General features: G+C 36.9%; 1 protein-coding gene across 19 annotated transcripts in view; it reads left to right on the forward strand.

Annotated features, from left to right (window-relative positions):
• FOCAD (focadhesin) overlaps positions 1-26,356 on the forward strand; it is a 340,326-nt gene that overhangs the window by 299,368 nt on the left and 14,602 nt on the right. For all 19 annotated transcript variants that reach the window (XM_047423537.1, XM_047423539.1, NM_017794.5 and 16 more), the window contains 2 exons: positions 21,428-21,556; positions 23,347-23,462. In XM_047423537.1, coding sequence (XP_047279493.1) covers positions 21,428-21,556; positions 23,347-23,462 — 245 coding nt within the window. The remainder of the gene's footprint in view (positions 1-21,427; positions 21,557-23,346; positions 23,463-26,356) is intronic.

Here is a 26,356-nt window from a genome sequence, read left to right on the forward strand (position 1 = left end):
GCTCATTTGAATTTTAATAACTCCCTTCTGAAGCAGCTTTTGAGTTTAAATGTCTGGATGTCACTCATCAGAGCCCGGTGGGACTGCTGATAGGAAGGATGGCAACTTTAGTGAACTCTTTTGAGGAATAAATGGTTTTAGAAAATAAAAATAATGCTTAGCATAGGCAGAAAAGTTTAGGGATGGCATGGTTTCATTGTCTCTGCTTGCTACTTTTAACTTCAGCAACTCACTAGAGGAAAGAAATGTGATGGGCCATCCCCAATCCACATTTGTGCTAGGATGAGTTTGGGCATGGTGGTCTCAAATTTAGCCAATCAAATTTGAGATAGTGAATCTGTTAATCTGTTTTCTAATGTTTAGGGCTTTCTCACTTAGGATACTGACTTTAGTACTCATGTGATAGAACATATAAGATGTTCATAGCATCCATTCTTTCATGCAGACCCACATTTTAAAAAGATACTAAATAGATGAGATTCCCTCAGTTTTTAAATAATTCAATTCATGGTTTTGACTATAACTGGGTCTTTTTTTTTTTTTTTGCTATACCATGTGACATTCTTCTTTCTTCTCTCATAGCCCTGGAATTCCTCTATCAGATATATTGTTCCTTAATCTTTTGTCGTCATTATTATCTGTTCTTGTGAACATTTCTTGACTACGCTAGCCTTAAAATCTTTGCTCATCATCTAATTCCTCCTAACATGGATATTTTTTCCCCCTGAAGAACCTCTGACTTTTGACTTTTACTTTTTTGCTTCTTTTCTACTTTTATTCTTTTGTCTGATTTCTGATTTTCTCAAGATCATAGGCTGTTCATATCTCATCAAGATTTTATCCACTTCTTTTATAATACATTAGAAACATATTTAAAGTACTTAATAAAAGTGATTCTTTCTAATGCTAATATTAGATATTTCTATGTAATAGCATTATTTTTGTTATTATATTGCTGGGGAATGTGGCTAACACTTTCTAAGCTTATATTTTCCTATTAGGCTTTAAAAATTCACAGTAAGAAGTATTAACTAAGCAAAGTATATTTAAGTCCACGTAATAGTCATTATGAATGGCTTTCTTTCTTGATATGGGCTAATTGGTCAGTGATCTGCGTGTGTAAGTATTGGGCTTGGATACGAAGTACAGGTAGGCATATGCTCCTTCAGTCATTTTTGAACTATTACCATGAGAGGTAATTGTTAAGAAGGAAATATGCCAAGGGAACAGACTTAGTGAACTCTGAGTAGAATAAATAATACGAGAAAGCTGTCCTGTTTTCTGATGAAATCATGGAGTTGGTTGCCAAGGTTATGTGTGATTTTTGAGTATTTTAATTTAGAAATAGTTTACCTGTACAACTCTTTAAAAAATATTATCAGAAGTCAGTATATCTGTATAATACTAAGTTAAAAGTGTATATAGAAGAAAATAAGACAATCCTCTGTCATGTCACCACTTGGAGATAGCCATTATAAATATGTCCTTCATAATGTCCTCCTATATGTATGTGTATGTGTTATATTGTACCATAAAATGTATATTATTTTATTGTCCTATTTTAAAAAAAGTAATGACTTTACATGCAAATGGACATAACTAGCACCCATGTCTTCCAAAAAAAGCCTTGAGGAAGTAAGAAAAGAATCCTATTGCATTGGTTTCTGGACATTTGTCAATAGCATATGTTTTTGGTGTGTTTGATTCCTTTTTTGTTTCATGAGGTTTGTTTTCATAAACCTCATGAAAATGTTTGGAAGGAAAAATGTCACCAATTATCCCATGACTCTACAGCTATTATCATTTCTGGATATTACTTAATTTGCTGCTTCTGGGATTACAGCCATGCACCACCACGCCTGGCTAATTTTTTGTATTTTTAGTAGAGACGGGACTTCTCCGTGGTGGTCAGGCTGGTCTTGAACTCCCGACCTCAGGTGATCCGCCTGCCTCGGCCTCCCAAAATGCTGGAATTACAGGTGTGAGCCACCGTGCCTGGCCTGTATTTTTGAACTTAATATTATATTATAAACTTTCCCTGTTTTCATATATCACCATAACAATTGTATAATAACAGCTATTATTTTTGAGACAAGGTCTCGGCTCTATCACCCAGGGTGAAGTGCGGTGGCACGATCATGGCTTACTGCAACTTCAAACTTTCTGGCTCAAGTGATCCTTCTGCCTCAGCCCCCCAGGTAGCTAGGAGTGCAGGTACATACAACCAGGATCAGATAATTTCTGTACTTTTTGTAGAGATGGAAACAATGTTGCCTAGTCTGGCCTCAAACTCTAGCTTTGAGCAATCCTCCTGACTTAGCCTCTTTAATTGTTGGGATTACAGGCATGAGCCACTGTACATGGCATAATGATCATTTTTAAATGACTATAGAATATTTCATCAAATTCATAAGTCATAATAAACTTAATCATTTTCGTATTGGTCATTTTTAAAATTTCAATTTTAGTGAACATCTTTTCTTTTCTTTTTTTTTTTTTTTTGAGACAGTCTTGCTCTGACGCCCAGGCTAGAGTGCAGTGGCGTGATCTCGGCTCACTGCAACCTCTGCCTCCCAGGCTCAAGTGATTGGCCTGCCTCAGCCTCCTGAGTAGCTGGAATTACAGGCAAGTGCCACCAAGCCCAAAGATAGATAGATAGATAGCATAGATATCTCTCTCTCTTTTTTTTTTTTTTTTTTTTTTTTTTTTTTAGTGGGGTTTTTCTATGTTGGCCAGGCTGGTCTTGAACTCCTGGCCTCAAGTTATCTGCCCTCCTCTGCCTCCCAAAGTGGATTACAGGTATGCACCACCATACCTGGCCTTTAGTGAACATCGTTATGCATATAGCTCTCTTCTGCTACAGCTTTCCTTCAGATAAATTCTCAGTAATGTAGTGAGCAGGAGTCCAAGGATTTGGTGACTATAGGGATGGCCAGGCCTCGTTGCCCTTCAAAAAGCTTTGCCAGTTTTCAGTACCTCAGCCCTGTATGAATTTGCAAAAATATAAAACATAGAGGTTAAAAGCATAGGAGTCAGGCTGCCTGGGTTCATATCCCACTTCCACTACTTACTGGCTGTATAACTTCAGGCAAACTGTGTCTGTAAGCTTTGACCACTTCTGTAAAATGGAGAAAATAATTGACTGTTTTTTATAGAGTTTTGTAAGAATTATGAGTCACTTTATGTAACAGTACTTATAAAACAATATAAAGAATAAATTCCTTCTTTTATAATGTCATATTAAAAAGCAGCCCAAAAAACAAATGATAACAATAAAAACCAGTCAGGTATAAAATGATACCTTAAGACTGCTCTCATTTGCATATAATTGCCAGAAGGTCTGAACATCTGTACATTTATTTACTGTTTAAGAGGTTGGTTTTTTTTTTAAGTAAATTTGAAATTTTTAAAAAAAATTTTTAATTGATGAATAATTATACATATTCATGGAGTACATAGAGATGTTCTGATGATATTATGTATAGTGATCAGATCAGAGTAATTAGTGTGTCTCTCATCTCAAACATTTATCATTTCTTTGTGTTGGGAACATTCAATTCCTCCTCCTAGCTACTTGAAACTATGTATTATTGATAACTATACTCACCCTACAGTAGTATAGAACACTAGAACTTATACCTTCCATCTAATTGTGGTTTTGTATCCTTTAACAAGTCTCTCCTTGTCTCTTTCTTCCCCCTGCTCTTTCCTAGCCTCTAAGTATTCTCTCTTCTACTTTTTACTTCTGAGAGATCAACTTTCTTTTTGCTTCCACATATGAGTGAGAACATGTGCTATTTAACTTTCTGTTCCTGGCTTATTTCACTTAACATAACGTCTTGCATTTCTATCCATGCTGCCATGACCAGCAGGACTTCATTCTTTTTGAGGGCTTAATAGTATTCCATTGTGGATATATACCAAATTTTAAAAATCCATTCATCTATTGTTGGACACCTAGATTTATTCCATGTCATGGCTATTGTGAATAGTACTAAAATAAACATGGGGTACAGATGTCTCTGATAGAATGATTTCCTTTCCTTTGGATACCTGCCCAGTAGGAGGATTATTAGATCATATTGTAGTTCTATTTTTAGTTTTCTGAGGAACCTCCCTACTGTTATTTATAGTGGGTATACTAGTTTACATTCCCACCAACAGTGAATGAATTCCCTTGTCTTCACATCCTCAACAGCATTTGCTGTTTTTTGTTTGTTTGTTTGTTTTTAATAATAGCCATCCTGACTGGGGAGAGATGATATCTCATTGTGGTTTTGATTTGCATTTTCCTGATGATTAGTGATGCTGAGCAGTTTTTTCATATATTTATTGGCCATTTGTACATCTTTTGAGAAATATCTGTTAATTTCCCCATCTTAAAATCAGATTGTTTATTTTTTGCTGTTGAGATGTTTGAGTTCCTTGCATATTCTGGATATTAGTCCCTTGTCAGATGAATAATATGCAAATATTTTCTCCATTCCACAGGTTGTCTTTTCATGTTGTTGATTATTTCCTTTGCTATGCAGAAGCTTTTTAGTTTGATGTAATCCCATTTATTTTTGCTTTTATTTTCTATGCTTTTGAGGTCTTATTCATAAAATCTTGCCCTAGGCCTGTGTCCTGAAGCATTTCTCCTATGTTTTATTCCTGCAGTTTTATCATTTTGTGTCTTACATTTATGTCTTTGATGCATTTTGAATTGATTTTTGTAGGGCGAGAGATTGGGGGGTGTAGTTTAATTTTTCTGTCTATGGATATCCAGTTTTCCTAGCATCATATATTGAACAGACTGTCCTTTCCCCACTGAGTGTTCTTGACATTTTTGTCAAAAATCAGTTTGCTATAGATATATAGATTAATTTCTGAGTTCTCTGTTCTGAATTTATTTTTAAATTTGTATTTTTTTACCCTTTTATTTTGAAACAATCTCAAACATAAAAAAGTTGTAAAATGCATAGAAAAGTAGCAAAAATTGTCTTCCTTTTTTAATAGTAAGAAAAACTCCACATTCCTTTCAACCAGGGGCACTATTCAAGTTTCATCAACAATCCCAGTGATGTTTTTAATAGAAAAACAATCTCATCTAGAATGTTGCTCTGCACTTATTTATTGGTCTCTTTGGTCTCCTTCAACCTGAACACTTTTTCAGTTTTTTCTGTGACTTCTTGACTTTAACGAGTTTTAAGATTAGAAGCCAGTTAGTTTATACAATGCTCTTTAATTTGGGTTTGCCTGATATTTCTCATATTAGAGTTAGGTGGGTCACTTTTGGTAGAGTATGACAGACGTGGAGCTGTGTGCTTCTCACTGCATCCCATCTGTGGCACATGACGTCTCAGCTGCCTCCACTGGGGTGGTGAGCTTTGCTCACTTGGATAAGATGTTGTCTTCTAGGTTTCTCCACTATGAACTTATTCTTTTACCCTTATTTCAATAATCTTTCATGTGGAGATGTTTTGAAATTTCACAAATATTCTATTTTCATCCTATTTTCACCGATTAGTTTTAGCATTCACTAATACTTCTTGCCTGAATTATTACTGTGATGGTTGTCAAAAGGTGATTTTTAAAAATCCATGAATCCATCTATTTTTTTTTTATTATACTTTAAGTTCTAGGGTACATGTACACAATGTGCAGGTTTGTTACATATGTATACATGTGCCATATTGGTGTGCTGCACCCATTAACTCGTCATTTACATTGGGTATATCTCCTAATGCTTTCCCTCCCCCCTCCCCCAACCCCACAACAGGCCTCGGTGTGTGATGTTCCCCTTCCTGTGTCCAATGTGTCCAAGTGTTCTCATTATTCAATTCCCACCTATGAGTGAGAACATGTGGTGTTTGGTTTTTTGTTCTCGTGATAGTTTGCTGAGAATGATGGTTTCCAGCTTCATCCATGTCCCTACAAAGGACATGAACTCATCCTTTTTTATGGCTGCATAGTATTCCATGGTATTTATGTGCCACATTTTCTTAATCCAGTCTATCATTGATGGACATTTGGGTTGGTTCCAAGTCTTTGCTATTGTGAATAGTGCCACAATAAACATACATGTGCACAGAATGGGAGAAAATTTTTGCAATCTACCCATCTATGTTTTTTATTAGGCGTTCTGCTGTAAGAAATGGCTCCTCTCCTCTCCTCTCCACTCCTCCCCTCCCCTCCGCTCCCCTCCTCTCCGCTCCCCTCCTCTTCTCTTTCTCTCCCTCTCTCTCTCTGTGTTAGTGTAGACTCGTAAATTCCTATGTTATTTAACTATTCAGTTATCTATTATTTTGATCTTTAACTTGTCCAATAAATTGAACAAAATATTAAATTTGACCAATAAGAACCTCTACAAGTTGGCTCTTGTGTCCTTTTGACATGACCCCCTCATTCTTTGACTGCTTCCTTTGTGGCACAAGAAGATGTCCTAGGTTTATTTTGTACTATCCCCAGCCCTGTAATAGATACTCCAGGTTTCTTTTAGTGGAGCATGGTATTTAGAAGCTAACATCTGTGTGCAAAGCATCTCATTGCTGCTGGGGTAATCTTTGTCTCTAGGCCGTTTCAGTGGACAGAGCTGGGAAACATATGTTCTTGTTCTCTCTCATGTATTTTTATTTCTGTATTTAGCTATATATGTAATAAAAAGGGTTCAATCTGTCTTTCTTTTTGTATTTGTAACTCCCTTCTCTGACAGTAAGAAACTTGACTCTCATTATCCTCAATATATTTACTCATTTGCCCAATCCTCCTGGATGTAAGTAATCTCCTGTCCCTGCTGGACCACGGTCCTAAACTGCCTTCCTCACTCAGGTCTCCACTGGGTGCCATCCTACTTTGTGGCCTTCCTGATTTTAAGAGGCCTTGGGATATTTTTGCTTTTAATAACAAAATGTTATTGAAATATTCGGTCTTAACATAGAAAACCTATCAACCTTTAGTGTCTGTCTGATGTATCAGAATCATCAATTTATTTTAAAAACTGTCTTGATTGTAGTTTCTTTCAGGGGGCTAGGCATCTCCTAGTTCCCACTAATAGGCAATGCTGTAATTCTCTCTGCCTGTGTTTTCTATGGACTTAGTGTAGAAAAAAATCGTACTCATCCTTTTCATCTTGATTTAAATATTCTTTCCTTGGTGGGGGAAGATAGGGGCTTCCGTGATGTTCCCAGATTAAGTTAGATTACTTATGTGATACTTTCCTATATATTTTCATGGTGCGTAATATATGTGTCATCATTTTCATAATTATTTATACTTCTTTGTTTAAACTCTGTCTTTTCCACTAGGTGTGATTTCCTCAATGGACAGGAAGAATAGCTGTGTTTTATCGTAAATACTTAGAACAGATTGGCATGTAATAGTTTTCTAATATTTGTTTATCTATAACTTTAAACATACACATATATAATATATATATACACACACACATACATACATACATACATACATACATACATACATACACTAGATAATTCTAAGCTAAGTTACCTATAAGCAGCATTTAGCTGGAGAAAGTAAAGATATGTCCAAACCACAAAAGCAATATGCTAGCGATGGAAAATATACAGACTCAGGCTGTTAGTCTACTTGTTGCCAGACTTTTACTCTAAGGATTACACATGTGAATTGTGGCATTGAGATCTGATCCTCTGTGTAGCCAAAGTATGTGCGATAATGGGTCCTGTTGTAATGCATTATGTTCGGATATACTGTTTATATCAGGGTTCTTTGAGGCTGTCAACTGGATGAGAGATTTAAAGTAACTTTGTTTCCAGGTTTTACAACATCTGGATCTTTTTAACAAGTACTGTTAGGCCTTCTCAGTTCCAAATCCATTGTCCGTAAAGCATTTCATTATTTCTTTTTATCTAAAAAACTTGTTTGAAAGACAAAGCATTATAATAAAGGAACTGATCATTCCTGTTGTTTAGATGTGGATTCTTTTATCCAGTGCTAAAGATCTCTGGGGAAGGAACTAGTTCACTGTGTTCTCCCTTGGCTTTGGGACTCCCTCTCTTTCTTTCCATACCTCCTCCAGAATGCATGAAACTGCCAAATATTTTCTCAATTTCCAACAGCTACTATAGTTCCTCTCATTCCAGTTAGTGTCTGAATCAGTTCCCTACAAATAGTGGAAAATTTTTTGTGAGTGTAGTTATACTACTCAATACTGATTCTTTGCCCTTTTAAATGTGGAAGATTTATTTCATTATTGGACTGATGTGATTTTTCAACCCTATTCTCCATTTTACAAATTTTCTTTGTTGCTGACACTTGCATGTATATTAGGTCAATTCTAGCGAATATAGAAGCAACATGTAAAGTGCAGTACTGGTGAAAGTTGTCCTGTCAAAGGAGAGCTCATTATCTTAAGAATAAAACGTCTGGAAAATGGTCATATTTCACATGGGGTCCTGGTATTAGAAGGCAGGCTGGACGCCTTGCCTGTTTCCCTAGATCCTCTGGAAACTCCAAAGTCTTTGTAGTGGATTCTCTCAAAGTGCCTGGAAAAAATTTTTTATGTAATTTTGAAAATACTCAATCTCTGAGAGTTTTCTAAGTAGAAATCTATTTATGAATTAATGATTTCCAGTGCAGAATTGGATGCATTGTTCTTAAATGGAGAGATGTAATTCTTGCATAGGTATTTACTATAATGTCTGCCAGTTTATCAAACTATTTCTATGAATCATGTGCTAAGAAAACCCCAAAAAGCAACTTAATTTTTGTGTTTTCTTTTTTGTGAAATCAAAGACTGCAATCTGCAGCCAATGTTGTGTAGAGATACTTAGCGCATATGTGTAATCAGCATGGAGTTATGTGAATAGACAACCAGTTAACTCCTATCACAGCATTTTTTTATCACAGAAGTTATTACACCTGATTTTGCCTTGCTTGTTTCTTCTCACGTTAGAATATAAGCTCCACGAGCGCAGGGACCTATTCTGTCTTGTTCAACACTGTCTCCGCTGCTAGAGTCAGTACCTGATACCTAATAGATACTCGGTAAATAGTTGAATGAATGAGTGTGTTTATAAATGTATTTACTTTATTTGTCAGAATTTTTTTTTTCCTTACAATAGCAGGGGTTGGCCAGATGTGGTGTCTCATGCCTGTAATCCCAGCACTTTGGGAAGCTGAGGCAGGTAGATCGCCTAAGGTCAGGAGTTCGAGACCAGCCTGGCCAACATGGTGAAACCCCGTCTATACAGAAAATACAAAAAATTAGCCAGGTATGGTGGTGCACACCTGCAGTCCCAGCTACTCAGGAGGCTGAGGCAGGAGAATCGCTTGAGCCTGGGTGGCGGAGTGAGCCAAGTTAGTGCTGCTGCACTTACTTGCAGTGAACCAAGATAGTGCTACTGCACTTCAGCCTGGGTGACAGAGTAAGACTCTGTCTCAGAAAAGAAAAAATAATAATAATAGCAATGATTAACTCTCTAAAAATATTTCTTGAACTCCCAGTATTACATCTCAAGATGGAACAGAACTACAACACCAATTACTGGTAGCATAGCACAGAAGAGTGGCAGGTGTGTTGAGCATCAACATTTTTTTTTTTGAGATGGAGTCTTGCTCTGTTGCCAGGCTGGAGGGCAGTGGCGTGATCTTGGCTCACTGCAACCTCTTCCTCCTGGGTTCAAGCGATTCTCCTGCCTCAGCCTCCCAAGTAGCTGGGACAACAGGCGCATGCCACCACGCCCAGCTAATTTTTGTATTTTTAGTAGAGACAGGCTTTCACCATGTTGGCCAGGATGGTCTTGATCTCTTGACCTCATGATCCATCCTCCTCGGCCTCCCAAAGTGCTGGGATTACAGGCGTGAGCCAGAGCATCAACATTTCAACAAAGTGAAAGAGTGTTTGTTGGAGGGGAGAGAAGCATCACTGGAAGGCGCACTACTATACCTGTTGGCAGGAGGGAGCAGGTTAGTGGGTCACTAGCCTAAGGAAATGTGCTGATTTTTGAGAAGGTGCTGATGGGAAATAAGTCTAAAATATGGGAGAAAGGCCTAGATCAGAAGTATGGATTTATATTCATCAACATATAAGTAATATTTGAAACTGTGAAAGTAGATGAACTTTCACAGAGGAAGAACACCGAAGCTTAAGGAAGCAGTTATTTCAGGAATGAGGGCATGGTACTCTTTTATATGGAAAAGTATGGAAAGAAAGACTGAGAAAATACCCTTGAATTTGGCTTTTAGATGGCCATTAGAAATCTTAGCCAGGGTAGTTTTGGTGGAGTGGCAGGGCCAATGTCTATGTAGCAGTTGTGTTAGGGTACTTTTTATTCCAGAAAGCAATGATTCTGACTTCAACTGACTCACAAATACTTGTTGCAAGGATTCTTTGGTTTCACAGAAATCCAAAGACAGAAACTTTGTTTTTGGGAGTATCGAGAACAGAAAGATATCAGGCGCCAAGACTGTATCTCTCTTTTTCTCTTTTTCAGGGGCTGCATGGTATCAGTTTCTCTTGTGGTTTCTACTTTTCTTCTAAAGACTCATCCATCCCTTTCTAAGCTTCTTATGCTTTTTTTGGTGATAAAATGTATACAACATGCCATTTTAACCATTTGAAAGTTTTCTGTGGCATTTAGTGCATTTACAATATTGTGGTGCCATCACGACTATTTCCAGAATGTTTTCATTACCCCAAGAGGAAACATTAAGCCCATTGAACAGTTGTTCCCCATTTCCCATTTTTCCAAGATCCTAGCAACCAATAATTTGCTTTCTGTCTTTATGTATTTTCCTTTCCTTTAAATGTCATTTAAATGGAACCATACAATATGTGGCCTTTGTGATTGGCTTCTTTCACTTGGTGTAATGTTTTCAAGGTTCATTCGCATTGTAGCAAGTATCAGTACTTCATTCATTTTTATTGCTGAATAAAAATCCATTGCATGGGTATGCCACATTTTATTTATGCATCAGTTTATGGCCGTTTGGGTTGTTTCTACCTTTTGGCTATTGCAAGTGATGCTGTTATGAATATTTGTGTACAAGTTTTGGGTTGAACACCTTTTTTCAATTCTCTTGGTGTATATATATATCTAGAAGTGGAATTGCTGGGTTGTATGGTAATTCTGCTTAACTTTTTGAGGAACTACCAAACTGTTTTTCCACAGTGGCCGCACTGTTTTACATTCTTGCAAGCAATATAGGAGGGTTCCAATTTCTCCACGTTCTCGCCAACACTTATTTTCCATTATTATTATCATTGCCAACTAATTGGCTGTGAAGGTGGTACCTCACGTGATTTGGGTTTGCATTTCCCTAATGACTAATAATGTTAAGTATCTTTTCATGTACTTATTAGCCATTTGTATATCTTCTTGGAGAATTATCTGTTCAAGTCCTTTGCCTATTTAAAAAAAAAATAAATTGCCTGTTGTTGAGTCGTAAGAGTTCTTTGTATATTCTGGAAAATAGACCCTTATTTATAATTTGCAAATTCTGCCATTCTATAGATTGTCTTTCATTTACTTGATAATACCCTTTAATGAACAAGTTTTTAACTTCGACAGAGTCCAATTTATCTGCTTTTCTTTTGTTGCTCAGGTTTTTAATGCCATATCTGTGAATCCATTGCCAAATCCAAGGTCAAAGATTTACCCCTGTGTTTTCTTCTAGGAGTTTGATTGGTTTAGTCCTTATATTTAAGCTGTTAACCCATTTTGCGTTAATTTTTGTATTTAGTGTTAGGTAGGGACCTAGCTTCATTCTTTTGCATGTGAGTATCTAGTTGTCTCAGCACCATTTATTGAAGAAATCATTCTTTCCCCCATTGAAGGATCTTGGCACCCTTGTCAAAAATCAATTGGGTATAAATATATACGTAATTTCTACTCTCAAGAGTCCAGAAATAAACCTATGCACTGGTCTATATGTCTGTCTTTATATGTACTAATACCACGCTGTTTTGATTACTATAGCTGTATAGTAAGATTAGTGTGCATGAGTTCTGTACATTTTTCTTTTTTCAAGATATTTTTTTTTAGGTATTTGGGGCCCCTTGCAATTCCACATGAATTTGAGGATTGACTTTTTCATTTCAGTGGAGAGGACTCTTGGAATTTTGATAGGGATTGCATTGAATCTATGGATCACTTTGGGTAGTATTATAATCTTAGAATATTCAGTATTCGAATCTGTGAACACAAGATGTCTTTCTATTTATTTAGGGCTGCTTTAATCTCTTTAGCATATTCTAAACTTTTCGGTGTATAAGTCTTTACCCTTGGTGAAATCTATTCCCAGATATTTCATTCTTTTGAGTGCTATTGCAAGTGGAATTTTTTCTAAATTTCTTTTTCAGATTATTCACTGCCAGAATATAAAAACACAACTAATTTTTGTGTGTTGGTCTTATATCCTGCAACTTTATTGAATTCCTTTATTAACTCTATTAGTTTTTAAAAAGATTGTTTGGGATTTTCTCTATATAGGATCATATCATTTGCAAATATAGTTTTATGTCTTCCTTTCCAATCTGAATGCCTTTTCTTTTTCTTGTCTAATTGCTCCGGTTAGAACATCCAGTACAAAGTGGTGAAACTGGGAATCCTGTCTTGTTCTTGATTGTAGAGAAAAAGCTTTCAGTTTTTCACCATTGAGTATGATTTAACTGTGAGTTTTTCACAGTTTTTCTTTATCATGTTAACATAGTATTATGTGTGTTTTTTATCGGAAAAGGGTGTTTGTCAATGATTTTTCTGTGTCAATTGAAATAGTCCTGCGGGCTTTTTTCCTTTGTATTATTAATGTTATATATTACCCTGATTGATTTTCTTATGTTGAACAAACTTTGCATTCCTGGGATAAATCGTGTTTGATCACAGTATATAATCTTTTTAATATGCTGTTGGATTCTGTTTGCTAGTGTTGAGAATTTTTGCATCTATATTCATAATATGTATCAGTCTCTGGTTTTCCTTTTTTATGATGTCTATGATATCAGGATAATGCTGATCTCTTAGAATAAGTTAGGAAATACTCCCTTCTCCTATTTTTTGAAAGAAATTGAGAAAGATTGGTGTTAATTCTTTAAGTGTCCGGGAGAATTCACCAATGAAGCCTTCTGGTCTTGAACTTTTCTTTGTTGGGAAATATTTGATTGCTGATACAATCTCTTTACTTGTTATAGGTCTGTTAAACTTTCTATGCATTCCTGACTCAGTTTTGATAATTTGTGTGCTTCTAGGAATTTTTCGATTTAATCTAGATTATCTAATCTGTTGGCATACATTTTTTCGTAGAATTCTCTTGTAATCCTTTTTATTTCTGCAAGGTCCATACAAATGTTTCCATATTCATTTCTGATTTTATTTGCATGCTCTTTATGTTTTTTTTCTTAGTCTAGATAACAGTTTGCCAATTTTGTTTATCTTTTCTAAGTTCCAATTTTTGGTTCTGTTGTTTGTATTTTCTTATTCTTTTTTTTTTTTTTTTTTTTTTTTGGGAGAGTTAGAGTATTGCTGTGTCGCCCAGGCTGGAGTACAATGGCGTGATCTCAGCTCACTGCAACCTCCACCTCCTGGGTTCAAGTGATTCTCCTGCCTCAGCCTCCTGAGTAGCTGGGATTACAGGCGTCTGCCACCATGCCCAGCTAATTTTTGTATTTTTAGTAGAGATGGGGTTTGACCATGCTGTCTAGGCTGTCGAACTCCTGAAGTCAGGTGATCTGCCCACCTCGGCCTCCCAAAGTATTGGGATTACAGGCATGAGCCACCTCGCCCGGCCTGTTTTCTTATTTTATACTTAATTATCTCCACTCTAAACTTTATTATTTCCTTCCTCTACCTTTGGGTATATTTGCTCTTCTTTTTTAAGTTCTTTGAGGCATAAAGTTAGGGATATTGATTAGAATTATTTCTACTTTTTAAAATGCCTTTTTAAAACTGGCATTTATTGCTGTAGATGTCCCCCAGTATACTGTATTTGTGCAATTCCATAAATTTTGGTATTTTTATTTTTATTTTCATTTGTCTCAAAGTATTTTATAATTTCCCTGTGATTTCTTCTTTAATCCATTGGTCATTTAAGAATATCTTTTTTACTTTCCATTTATTAGTGAGTTTTCCAGTTTTTTTGGAAATCTGTTCTTGATTTCTATTCCATTGTGTTTATGAAAATACTTGGTATGGTTTTAGTCTTTTAAAATTTATTGAGACTTGTTTTGTGGTCTGACATGTGGTAAGTCTTAGAGAATGTTCCGTGTGCTCTTGAAATGAATGTGTATTCTGATGGTGTTGAGTGGAACTGTTCTAGCTATGCCAGCTAGGTCTCTCTGGTTTACACTGTTGATTAATAAGGATCCTTTATATCCTCATTAATCATACGTCTAGATATTCTATCTAGTATTGAAGGTAGAGTATTGAAGCCTCCAACCGTTACTGTAGAGCTATCTATTTCTCCTTTCAATTCTGTCAGTATTTATATATTTGGGGGCTCTACTGTTTGATTTGTATGTGTTTCTAATTGTTAAATTTCTTGATTAATCTAATTTGAATTGATTCCAACTGAGCATCAACAACATATAAAAATTCTGCTCTTATAAAGTTCTATTTCTCCCTTTCATGTTATTACTGTCCCAAATTACATTTGTATACATTATGTGCCCATTAAGGTAGATTTATAATCATTGTTTTATGCATTTGCCTTTTAAGTTACATAGTAAGTGAAAAGGGGAGTTATAAAACAAAAATATAAAAAAATATATATATATAGATATATAACAAAAATATAATGGCTTTTATATTTACCTATGTAATTACCTTTACCAGAATTCTTTATTTCTTTGTATAGCTTCAAATTATTATCTAGATTACTATTTAGTGTCCTTTTATTTTAGCCTTGAGGACTCCCATTAACATTTCTCGTAGGGCATGTCTATGGGTAACAAACTCCCTCAACTTTGTTTTTCTGTATATGTCTTAATTTCTCCCTAATACTTGAATTATAGTTTTGTTGGATACAGCATTTTTCGATGACAGTTTTTTTTTTTTCTTTCAGTAAAAGGTGTTATCCTGTTCCTTACTGGACTCCATGGTTTCTGATGAGAAATGAGCTGTTAATCTTATTGGGAATCCCTTGTATGTGATGAATCACTTCTCTTTGCTGCTTTCAAGATTTTCAGTCTTTGTCTTTTAAAAATTTGGCTACAGTACGTCTTAGTGTGGATCTCTTTGCCTTTATCTTTCTTAGACTTTGTTGAGCTTCTTGAATGTATGGATTTGTGTCTTTTTTATTAAATTGGAGAAGTTTTAGGCCATTACTTTTTCAAATATTCATTCTGCCCCTTTCTCTCCTATCCTTCTGAGATTCCTGTTATGCCTACGTTGGTATGCTTGATGTATCCTTAGGCTCATACTTTTCGTCTTTCTTTTTTCTCTGTAGACTGAGTGATTTTAGTTGACGTATCTTTATGTGAGTTGATTCTTTTGCCTGCTCAAGTCTGCTATTTAATCCCTCTAGTGAGTTTTTCATTGCAGTTACTGTACTTTTTAGAGTACAGAACTCTATAATTTGTTTGGTTCTTTTAAAAAAGAACTCTTTTTGATATTCTCTTTTTTCTTTTCTTGTATTGTTCTCCTGGTTTCTTTTAGTTCTTTGTCCATAATTTTCTTTAGCTGAATATATTTAAGAGAGTTGCTTTCAAGTCTTTGTCTAGTAAGTCCAATGTCTTTACCTCCTCTGGGACATTTTCTGTTAATTTCTTCTGTGAAATGACAAAGCTTCCTTGTTTCATTTTATGCTCCATATTTTTTTGAAAACTAGACTTTTTTGAATGTTAAAATTCAGTTTTATTCCAAGAATAAAACAAAATATTGTAAAATATGTAACATAAAATTTAACTTTTAAATATATGATTTTATGACATTAAGCATTAATGTCACATTAAACATTAATTAAGCAATAATCACCACCATCCAGCTTCAGAACTTTGAAAACTGAACATTTTGGATATTGTAACAGGGTAACTTGGAGTATTACAGTCTTTCTTTTCCTCATTGTTTGTTTTCATTTCTTGCTGTGGGCTATGTTCAGTGACTTCTCAAAATTGTAAAGTTTGTCTGTCTTCTTTCTCTCTGAAGGCTCTGTTCTTTTAGCCAGTGATTAGCTAGTGCTGACAGAGATTTCCTTGAACACCAGAAGTCAAAAAAAGGAAAACAAAAAGGACTCTGCCTTTTCTCCATAATGTGATTATTACACATTGCATGCCTATATCAAAATATCTCATGTGCCCCATGCCCCATAAATATACACACCTACTCTGTAACCACAAAATCAAAAATTAAAATAACTCTGCTGCCACTTCCACTTCTACTTTTTCTTTATCTCTACCAATTATGCTGCTATTTCTGAATATGCATCTTCTTTTTTAAAACATTGTAGTGATAAGTACACAATGTAAAATTTACCCTCATAACCATTTTTTTTTATTTTTTTTGGTGGGGGAGGACAGAGTTTTGCTCCTGTTGCTTAGGCTGGAGTACAATGGTGCAATCTTGGCTCACCATAACCTTCACCTCCCGGGTTCAAGCAATTCTCCTGCCCCAGCCTCCTGAGTAACGGAGATTACAGGCATGCACCACCATGCCCAGCTAATTTTTTGTATTTTTAGTAGAGATGAGATGGAATTTCTCCATTCAATAGTGTTAATGTGAATGTATATTCATATTGTTATGAAACAGTTCTCCAGAACTTTTCAGAACTTAGAAAACTGAAACTCTAGCCATTAAACAATAACTCCCTTTCCCCCACCCCTCTCCCTATCCCCTGGTAACCACCATTCCATTTTCTTTTTCTATGAATTTGACTACTTTAGATACTTCACATAAATGGAATCATACATTTTTGTGTGTGTGAATGGCTAATTTAATGTAATGGCCTTAAGTTTCATCCATGCTATAGCATCTAGCATGATTTTCTTTTTTTATAAGACTGAATAATGTTCCATGTTATGTATATACTGCATTTTGTTTATTCATTCTTTCATCAGTGGACATTTGGGTTGCTTTTACCAATTGGCTGTTGTGAATAATGCTGCTATGAACATGGGTTTGCAAGATCTCTTCATGATCTTGCTTTCAATTTCTTTGGGATATACACCTAAAAGTGAGGTTGCTGGATTATATGGTAGTTCTAGTTATAATTTTCTATTTATATAAAATAATGTGTAAATTTTTAAGGAACTGCCATACTGTTTTATATAGTGGTCACATCATTTTATAATCCTACCAAGTGTACATTAGGGTTCCATTATTTGCATATCCTGGGCAACACTTTTTCTGGTGTTTTTGTTGCTATTGTTTTTATAGCAACAAATAGGTTCTAATAGGTATAGGCTGATATCTCATTGTGGTTTTGATTTGGTTTGGTTTTTTTCCTTCTGATTAGTGATATTGGTCATCTTCATATGCTTGTTGGACATTTGTATATCATCTTTGGGAAAATGTCTAAGTTCTTTGCCCATTTTTATATGCTCTCTTTTTTTCTATGTTACTCCTTTTTTAGCTGCTCTTTTTTCCTTTTGTTGATTCTCCCTCTGCCCTCTCTTTTTCAGTTTCTAGTTGTTCTGCTTTTCCTGCTAATTCTGCATGTGCTTCTCTTTTCTCCTATGCTTCTTTCTGCTGTTTTTCATTTTTCTTTCTCTGCCTGCTTTTTCAGTATCTATTCATTTTGCTTCTGTTTCTCTTTTTCAACTTCTGTTAATTCTGTTTCTTTTTCTGCTGATTCCACATAGCTTCTCCTTTTTGCAGCTATTTTCCTTCTGTTGACTCTGCCCTATTTCTTCTTCCACCTTTTCAGTGTGCTGATTTTACCTCCGCTTCTCCTTGTTCCCATGCTTCTCCTTTCTGCAGCTATTTTACCTTATGCTGACTTTCCTTTATTCTGGTTCCCTCTTCTTTCAGCATCTGCTGATGTGGCCACTGCTCCTTGTTCCTGTGCTTCTGCTTTCTGCAGCTGATTTACTTCTGCTGACTTTGCCCTGTTCTGGTTCCCTCTTCTTTCAGCATCTGCTGATGTGGCCTCTGCTTCTCCTTGTTCCTGTGCTTCTTCTTTCTGCAGCTATTTTACCTTCTGCTGACTTTGCCTTGTTCTGATTCCCTCTTTCAGTATCATCTGATGTGGCCTCTGCTTCTCCTTGTTCCTGTGCTTCTCCTTTCTGCAGCTATTTAACCTTCTGCTGACTTTGCCTTATTCTGGTTCCCTCTTCTTTCAGCATCTGCTGATGTGGCCTCTGCTTCTCTTTGTTCCTGTGCTTCTCCTTTCTGCAGCTGATTTACTTCTGCTGACTTTGCCCTGTTCTGCTTCCGTCTTCTTTCAGCATCTGCTGATGTGGGCTCTGCTTCTCCTTTTTCCCATGTTTCTCCTTTCTGCAGCTTTTTTTTTTTTTTCTGCTGACTCTTGCTTCCCCACTTTTAGCATCTGCTAATTTGGTCTCTGCTTCTCCTTTTTCCTATGCTTCTCATTCCTGCTGCTGTTTTCACTTTTGCTGACTCTGCCCTACTTCCCCCTTCTTTTAGCATCTGTTCATGGCCTCTGCTTCTCCTTTTTCCTATGTTTCTCCTTTCTGCAGCTGTTTTTTTCCTGCTGACTCTTGCTTCCCCATTTTAGCATCTGCTAATTTGGCCTCTGCTTCTCCTTTTTCCTATGCTTCTCATTTCTGCTGCTGTTTTCACGTTTGCTGACTCTGCCCTACTTCCCTCTTCTTTCAGCATCTGTTCATGGCCTCTGCTTCTCCTTTTTCCTATGTTTCTCCTTTCTGCAGCTGATTTTTTCCTGCTGACTCTTGCTTCCCCATTTTAGCATCTGCTAATTTGGCCTCTGCTTCTCCTTTTTCCTATGCTTCTCATTTCTGCTGCTGTTTTCATGTTTGCTGACTCTGCCCTACTTCCCCCTACTTTCAGCATCTGTTCATGGCCTCTGCTTCTCCTTTTTCCTATGTTTCTCCTTTCTGTAGCTGTTTTTTTCCTGCTGACTCTTGCTTCCCCATTTTAGCATCTGCTAATTTGGCCTCTGCTTCTCCTTTTTCCTGTGCTTCTCTTTTCTGCTGCTGTTTTCACTTTTGCTGTCTCTGCCCTACTTCCCCCTTCTTTCAGCATCTGTTCATGGCCTCTGCTTCTCCTTTTTCCTATGTTTCTCCTTTCTGTAGCTGTTTTTTTCCTGCTGACTCTTGCTTCCCCATTTTAGCATCTGCTAATTTGGTCTCTGCTTCTCCTTTTTCCTGTGCTTCTCTTTTCTGCTGCTGTTTTCACTTTTGCTGTCTCTGCCCTACTTCCCCCTTCTTTCAGCATCTGTTCATGGCCTCTGCTTCTCCTTTGTCCTATGTTTGTCCTTTCTGTAGCTGTTTTTTTCCTGCTGACTCTTGCTTCCCCATTTTAGCATCTGCTAATTTGGCCTCTGCTTCTCCTTTTCCCTGTGCTTCTCTTTTCTGCTGCTGTTTTCACTTTTGCTGTCTCTGCCCTACTTCCCCCTTCTTTCAGCATCTGTTCATGGCCTCTGCTTCTCCTTTTTCCTATGTTTGTCCTTTCTGTAGCTGTTTTTTTCCTGCTGACTCTTGCTTCCCCATTTTAGCATCTGCTAATTTGGCCTCTGCTTCTCCTTTTTCCTATGCTTCTCATTTCTGCTGCTGTTTTCACGTTTGCTGACTCTACCCTACTTCCCCCTTCTTTCAGCATCTGTTCATGGCCTCTGCTTCTCCTTTTTCCTATGTTTCTCCTTTCTGTAGCTGTTTTTTTCCTGCTGACTCTTGCTTCCCCATTTTAGCATCTGCTAATTTGGCCTCTGCTTCTCCTTTTTCCTGTGCTTCTCATTTCTGCTGCTGTTTTCACGTTTGCTGACTCTGGCTCCACATCTGCTTCTCCCATCTTTCAGCATCTACTGATTCTGCTACTTTTTCTGATGATTTTGCCTCTGCTTCTCCTTCTTCCTATGCTTCTCCTTTCTGAAGCTGTTTTTCCTTTTGCTGACTCTACTTCCACGCTGATTCCCCCTTTTTCAGCATCTTCTGATTCAGGTGCTTTTTTGCTGATCCTGCCTCTGCTTTTCCTTTTCCTACCTCTACTTTTCCTTTTGTTGATTCTGCTTCTCTTTCTGCTGATGCTAATTTCCTTTCTACTGCCGATGTTGATCCTGCTCCTTTTGCTTCTCCTTGGTCTTCTACATTTTAATGTGTTATACTATTTCTGGCCTCCTCGTAGTTTCACGTTTACATGGCCCTTAATGGCTATTCTATTCCTGGTTGCACCATATGTTTGCACTCACAAATGCTCTACTATCTGTTTTTCAATTTCTAATTACCCTATACACACTTCCTTTAAATAGGAATATAATATTAAAGTAATGGTACTATGTCATAGGCAGCTGGTTAACTGATGGACTAGCTGTTACACAGCCCTTAGATGCTCACTTCTAGAACGGTCACCATGGCACAGGCTGGGAAGCAGAAAAACTAGAGACTCCCAAGGTACAGAATGCAGTCTAGGACTACAGAGACTAGGCAATACATAGTCCATAGAATGGAGTGTACCTGAGTGAGCAGTCCTTATTCTCTCTGCTGGAAGTAGATTGAGGTGTAAGTGAGCAATGAGGTACTAATGTAAAAGAAGTTACTTAATTTGGAAAACTAGATAAAAAGACAAGAGTGTGCAGAGGACAGCTAAGTAGCAACGTGGAAAATTTTTATCCAGTCAGAAAGGAAAGACTGTAGGCAAGTGAAAGAATGAAATCATGTCATTTATGGCCACCTGGAGAACTCATGTTAAGTGAAACAAACCAGCCACAAAAAGATAAATATCACATATGTGGAAGCTAAAAAAGTTGATCTCATATGCAATGCCAAAGAAAGTTGATCTTATATAGAGGTAGAGAGTATAGAATAGTGGTTACTAGAGGTTAGGAAGAGAAGGAGGATGGGGCAATAATGAGGGATTGGTTAAAGGAAACAAAATGAGGAATAAGTTCAAATACGGGGAATAAGTTCTGGTGTTCTAAAGCACTGTAGGGTAGTGACTATAGTTAACAGTAATTGTTATTTCCAAATAGCTAGATAAAAAGATTTTGAATGTTTCAGCATAAAGAAATGATAAATATTGGAGATGATGGATATGTTATTTATCCTGATGTGTTCATTGCACATATGTATGGAAATATCACTCTATACCCCATAAATATATACAGTTATTATATATTATTGAAAAATTTATAAAAATTTTTTAAAAAGAGAAGAACAGAGGGAGCAAGCTTTTCTGGCAAATGGAGTTGAAATTAAGAGCACAGAATTGAAGCGTTGATCGCAATTGAATATGTGATATCAGATCCTTTGATGCTAGAAGGAAAGAAGGAATTGTTGGCATTTTCCACTTCCATGATAGTATGCAGGTGTTTTACTATTATTTTTCACTGTCTGTTATAGGTCCTGAATCTGTGCCTCCTTCCCTTCTTAAAGTAGTGATGAAACCCATAGCAACTGTTGGAGAAAGCTACCAATATCCTCCTGTGAACTGGGCTGCACTTCTCTCTCCACTTATGAGGCTAAATTTTGGTAAATATCATGTGTTTTTAAGTCTTCAGACTTTGATTTTAGTATTTGACCTGAATGGAAAAACAGATTCTGTGTCACAATGTGTAGTGACTGGATAGACTTTTCAGATCTTGAGGTTTGTCATGTTGGATGGAATGGCTGGGTTACTTTCACTCAGTCATTGAGCCCCTGAGGGTGAGGAAGAAGAGGTCTAAAGACACAGGCCAGATACACCTGCCAAAAACAATGCTTGACTGAGGTTTGCGCACTGCTGGGAATGTGGTACAGGTTCCATTAAGCTTGCCTTTGTGGTTATCAAACTACATTTCCAGAGCCATAGGTTTCGAGAAGTACCATGTGGGATGCTGTATTAATTTTCTATTGCTGCTGTAACAAATTACCACAGTGGCTTGAAACAACACAAATTTATTATCTTTACATGTCCATAGGCCAGAAGTCCAACATGTTTCTCACCAGCCTAAGATCAAGGTATCAGCAAATTAGAATTTCTTTCTAGAGGTTCTAGGGAGGAATTCATTTCCTTTTCTTTTCTAGCCTCTAGAAGCTGCCCACATTCTTTGACTTGTGGCCCCCTTTCTGCATCTTCAAGGCAAGCAATAGAGGGCTAAGATCTTCTCACACCATCATCTTTCTGGTTCTCTGTAGCCAGGAAAGGTTTTCCAACTTTAAGGACTCATGTAATTAATAGGCTCACTTACATAATCCAGGATAATCTCTCCATCTCAAAATCCTTAACCTTAATCACATCTGCAAAGCTTCTTTGTCATATAAGGTAGTGTATTCACAGGTTGCAGGGATCAGGATGTGAACATTATTGGGGACCATTATTCTGCCTACCACAGTTATTTTGTGGTGAGAGGCAAACAGAATACACACCTCAACACCTCCAGTTCATCCACAGCAACCTATTTTATACAGAATAGAGTTACACATGCAAATATAATTTAATGTACTTGTTCCCCACCCTAACTCCAAAAATAAAGTAAGAAGGGGAGATGAAGAGCAATTTAAACAGTGTTGTAAAATTGTGTGTGTTTGTGTCTGTGCCTGCTGTGAGTGCTCTATCATTTATAGTAGAGTGCATACTTACATATGATATATAAAACAACTTCTATACTGTAATTTATGTGTGGTTTCAGAGATAAAGATAATTTTGACTACATACAATTTTTCACTTAAGTGCTTTCATATAAACCTAATCTCTATATAAGATATAATGTCACCATACTGGGTTTCCAGAGATTTCATTTGAAAAATGTGTTCCGCTATCCCTCTCCTTGTTTGGTGTGCTATATTGAAATGTTTGTGTTTCATTTAAGTCCTTAGAGAAAGGAAGGAAAATAAGGTGCTGATTGGAATCTTATTACTAGAAAGGCTTGATGACTAGAGAATGTGGCTCTATCTTTAAGCCATTCCACACCTTGATATATTTCTTCATGGTCTGCATATGAGATGGAGAGAAGGGAAAAACAGAGATCCAGAGATTACTAGCTAGAATTTTCTCATATTTTAGATAGTGTTTGAGTGTGTAGTTTCCTCTGGATATCATAAGAGAAATTCCCATATCTAGTTCAAGCCCATTGCTAGTTCCAAGGTGGGACTGTGATGCCATTGGACATGTTATTTTGCCTCATAACTAACAAGTCTCTTGAAATATCTCTTCTGGTTTACTGAAGTTCTGTTACCTGCAAAAGTCACATAAGCAGATGCTTTGATTTGAGATATTAAAGCCTGAAAATGAGTCAGGAAAGTAACTATATATTCAATTCTTTTCCTTTCTTGACTTTCAGGTGAAGAGATCCAGCAACTGTGCCTTGAAATTATGGTGACCCAGGCACAGTCATCCCAGAATGCAGCTGCACTATTGGGCTTGTGGGTGACACCACCACTGATCCACAGTCTGAGTGTATGTAGTAACTAAGGGTGTTGGCCAACAGGAGGATATTGTTCTTTAGGAGGATATTAACATTCATTTGGGTGTGTGTTCTCAAAGTCAAGAGGAGACAGATGAGATCTTCACAAAAATCGAGGGTTTGATAGTAGCTGGCCTGCATATTGGAAAATTATATAGTTCAGAACCCTGCCATAGCCATTACCGTTCATGCTTTAGCTACCATTTATTACCAAAAGTGGAAAATGATGATCAGAGATATTAAAGTTCCTTTCTCAAGATCATATAGCTAGAAAGTGGTGGAATTATTTGAACTTATGTTTATTTGATTATATAGTATATGTAATTATTTCAGTACATATTAAGAGAAAGGAAATCCATATGTACCGGACTTATCCATGTATTATCCTTCCCCTTTCCCAGAGGAGGCAGCAATTAAGGTGGGCCATGATTTGGTTAGGTATCACATCAAGGGGACCAGGGGATGTAGGTGGGAGAGTGTAAGTGGAGAGCATGAAAGATCTCTACTAGGCTGTTTAGCTTGAGCAAAGCGTTGAGAAAGCAATGACCGAGTCTGGTGTTTTTGATAGAGGGGGCTAGCACCTTTCACGTATAGGCCAAGGGCAGATAGGAAGAATAGGGCAAGAGAGTTTAAAGATGTAAAGTTAGTAAAGATGTATAATTTTGATTAGGTTTCAAACTAGAACAGAAAAACATATTCCATGATTCTTTAGAGGTTTACCAGTTGATGTAAGTTAAATGCTGTCATCTTTTAATTGTCTCCATAATCTGGACTATTCTTCTGTCCTAGGAGGCTTTAATTGTTTGAGAATAGTGCAAAGCCCTCTTATCATTTCCTCAGTCTCTTGGCCTTTGTCCCTATTCAGCCTTGTTTCTGTTTTTTTGTTGTTGTTTTTGAGACAGTTTCTCGCTCCATAGCCCAGGCTGGAGTGCAGTGGCAGAATCTCGACTCACTGCAACCTCCGCCTCCTGGGTTCAAGTGATTTTCATGCCTCAGCCTCTCAAGTAGCTGGGACTATAGGTGTGCACCACCGTGCCCATCTAATTTTTGTATTTTTAGTAGAGATGGGGTTTCACCAAGTTGGCAAGGCTGGTTTCGAACTCCTGACCTCAAGTGATCTGCCCACCTCAGTCTCCCAAAGTGCTGGGATTACAGGTGTGAGCCACCACGCTGGGCCTGTTTTTGTTTTTTTAAACCTTTCCTACTCCTCCTCACTGTCTTTAATTGAAAGTGGATGTTATCAAGGTCTGCATCTTTCTGTCAGGTATTAACTTCATTCCACCTGTCTGCTCCAAGTGGCTCCCAGCTGCCTGCCACTTACTGAGCCCTTGCTGTGCACCTGGTACCTGCAAGCACTCAGTGAGTACTTACAGAAATCAGACTTAATTTCTCTACAGCCTGACGGGACAGTTTTAAAAGTAGCTTTGTTGAGTTATAATCTATATAGCCTAAAATATGGCTGTTTTAAAGTGTAAAATGTGATGAATTTGAGTACCTTTACAGGTTTTTCAATCATCACCAAGAATATTTCCATCACCTGACAAGTTCCATTGTGCTTGCTTGTAGTCATTCCCCACTCCCAGCTTCAGACCCAAGCCACCACCAATCTGCTTTCTATTTGTAGTATTGCCTTTCTAAAATAACCTTTATTTATATAATTTTATATAAATTATATATAAATTTCATATAAATTTTTGAAATTCTTTAGAATGGAATTATACAATATGAATTTTTTTATGTCTGTCTTGTTTCATGTCTGAGAGATACATTTTATTATTTCCATTTTAACAGAATTATAAACTGAGGCAAATGGAGGTCAAGCAAAGTTTGCCTAGCTAATAAAAGAGAGAGCTCTATCTATCTGAGTTCAAAGCCCTGTTCTATTCACTCCTTCTTACTTTTGAATCAGACCTATTTCCAGCCTGTTGGGTTGGCCTTCGAAATTTTCCTAAATTTTACTTATCCTTTCATTTATCTTTTAGATCTGTGCTACTCTGTGCATTTGTCTTTGATTATTTATCTTTATTGTTATCTTGGTTAATAAATTAAGTTTGTGAGTTCATTTTCTTAAATATAGAATGATCTGAGATGGCATATTCTTTAAAATGAGGTCTTGAGAAAACTCATGCAACTACACTGATCTTTTTAGAAATTTGCAGAAAACATTGTTCCTCTGTCCCTCCCCTATTTTTGTGTGCTATCTTGAAAAAACAAAAATAGCACACAAAAAAGTTTTTGCCAGATTTTACTTTTTAGATCACTTATTTTGCCAGATTTTATTTTTAGATCACTTATTTTAGACTTGCTGCCCCTTTAGTAGCATGTTTATGTTCCTAAGAATTTTTGAAGCCCACTTGGTTGAAGTCTGTCATATAACAGAGCTGTTACTAACATGCCCTTTCTTGGCTCTCATGAACTCTAAGGTGCCTGGTCAGTTCTACGTGCTCAGCTGGTGGTTTTACTTTGGTCATAAATGGTCCCAGCATGTCACTTCTCCTTATTACTTCCTTATTTTTTCTCAGAAGAAGAAATTAATAGTATCAGATGCTCTGTTTAGTTGATTTTCAGCAGTTGAGCCTTTCATCTTCCAGAGCTTTTCTTGCCAGAGAATGTGACCTTTTAAAACTGAAAAGTAACTGTCATGTACTTTCAGAAGTAGCATTTTATTCCCGTCACTGAAACCTTGAAAACATCCAAGGTTTAAGCTGAGTAGTTCACAGATGGGTTGGCAGATCCCATATAAACACATGATTCACCCTGGATCAGAAGTAACTGCAGAAGCCAAAATTACATGCATTGGTGGCCCATTGGACCGTGAAGCTGTGGGAAAATGAAGGGGGAAGGAAGTAACCTGAACCTTTTATCTCTCAGTCTACCCTCAAACACA

This window comes from Homo sapiens, chromosome 9 (assembly GCF_000001405.40).
Source record: "Homo sapiens chromosome 9, GRCh38.p14 Primary Assembly".
In the NCBI taxonomy this organism is placed as follows: domain Eukaryota; kingdom Metazoa; phylum Chordata; class Mammalia; order Primates; family Hominidae; genus Homo; species Homo sapiens.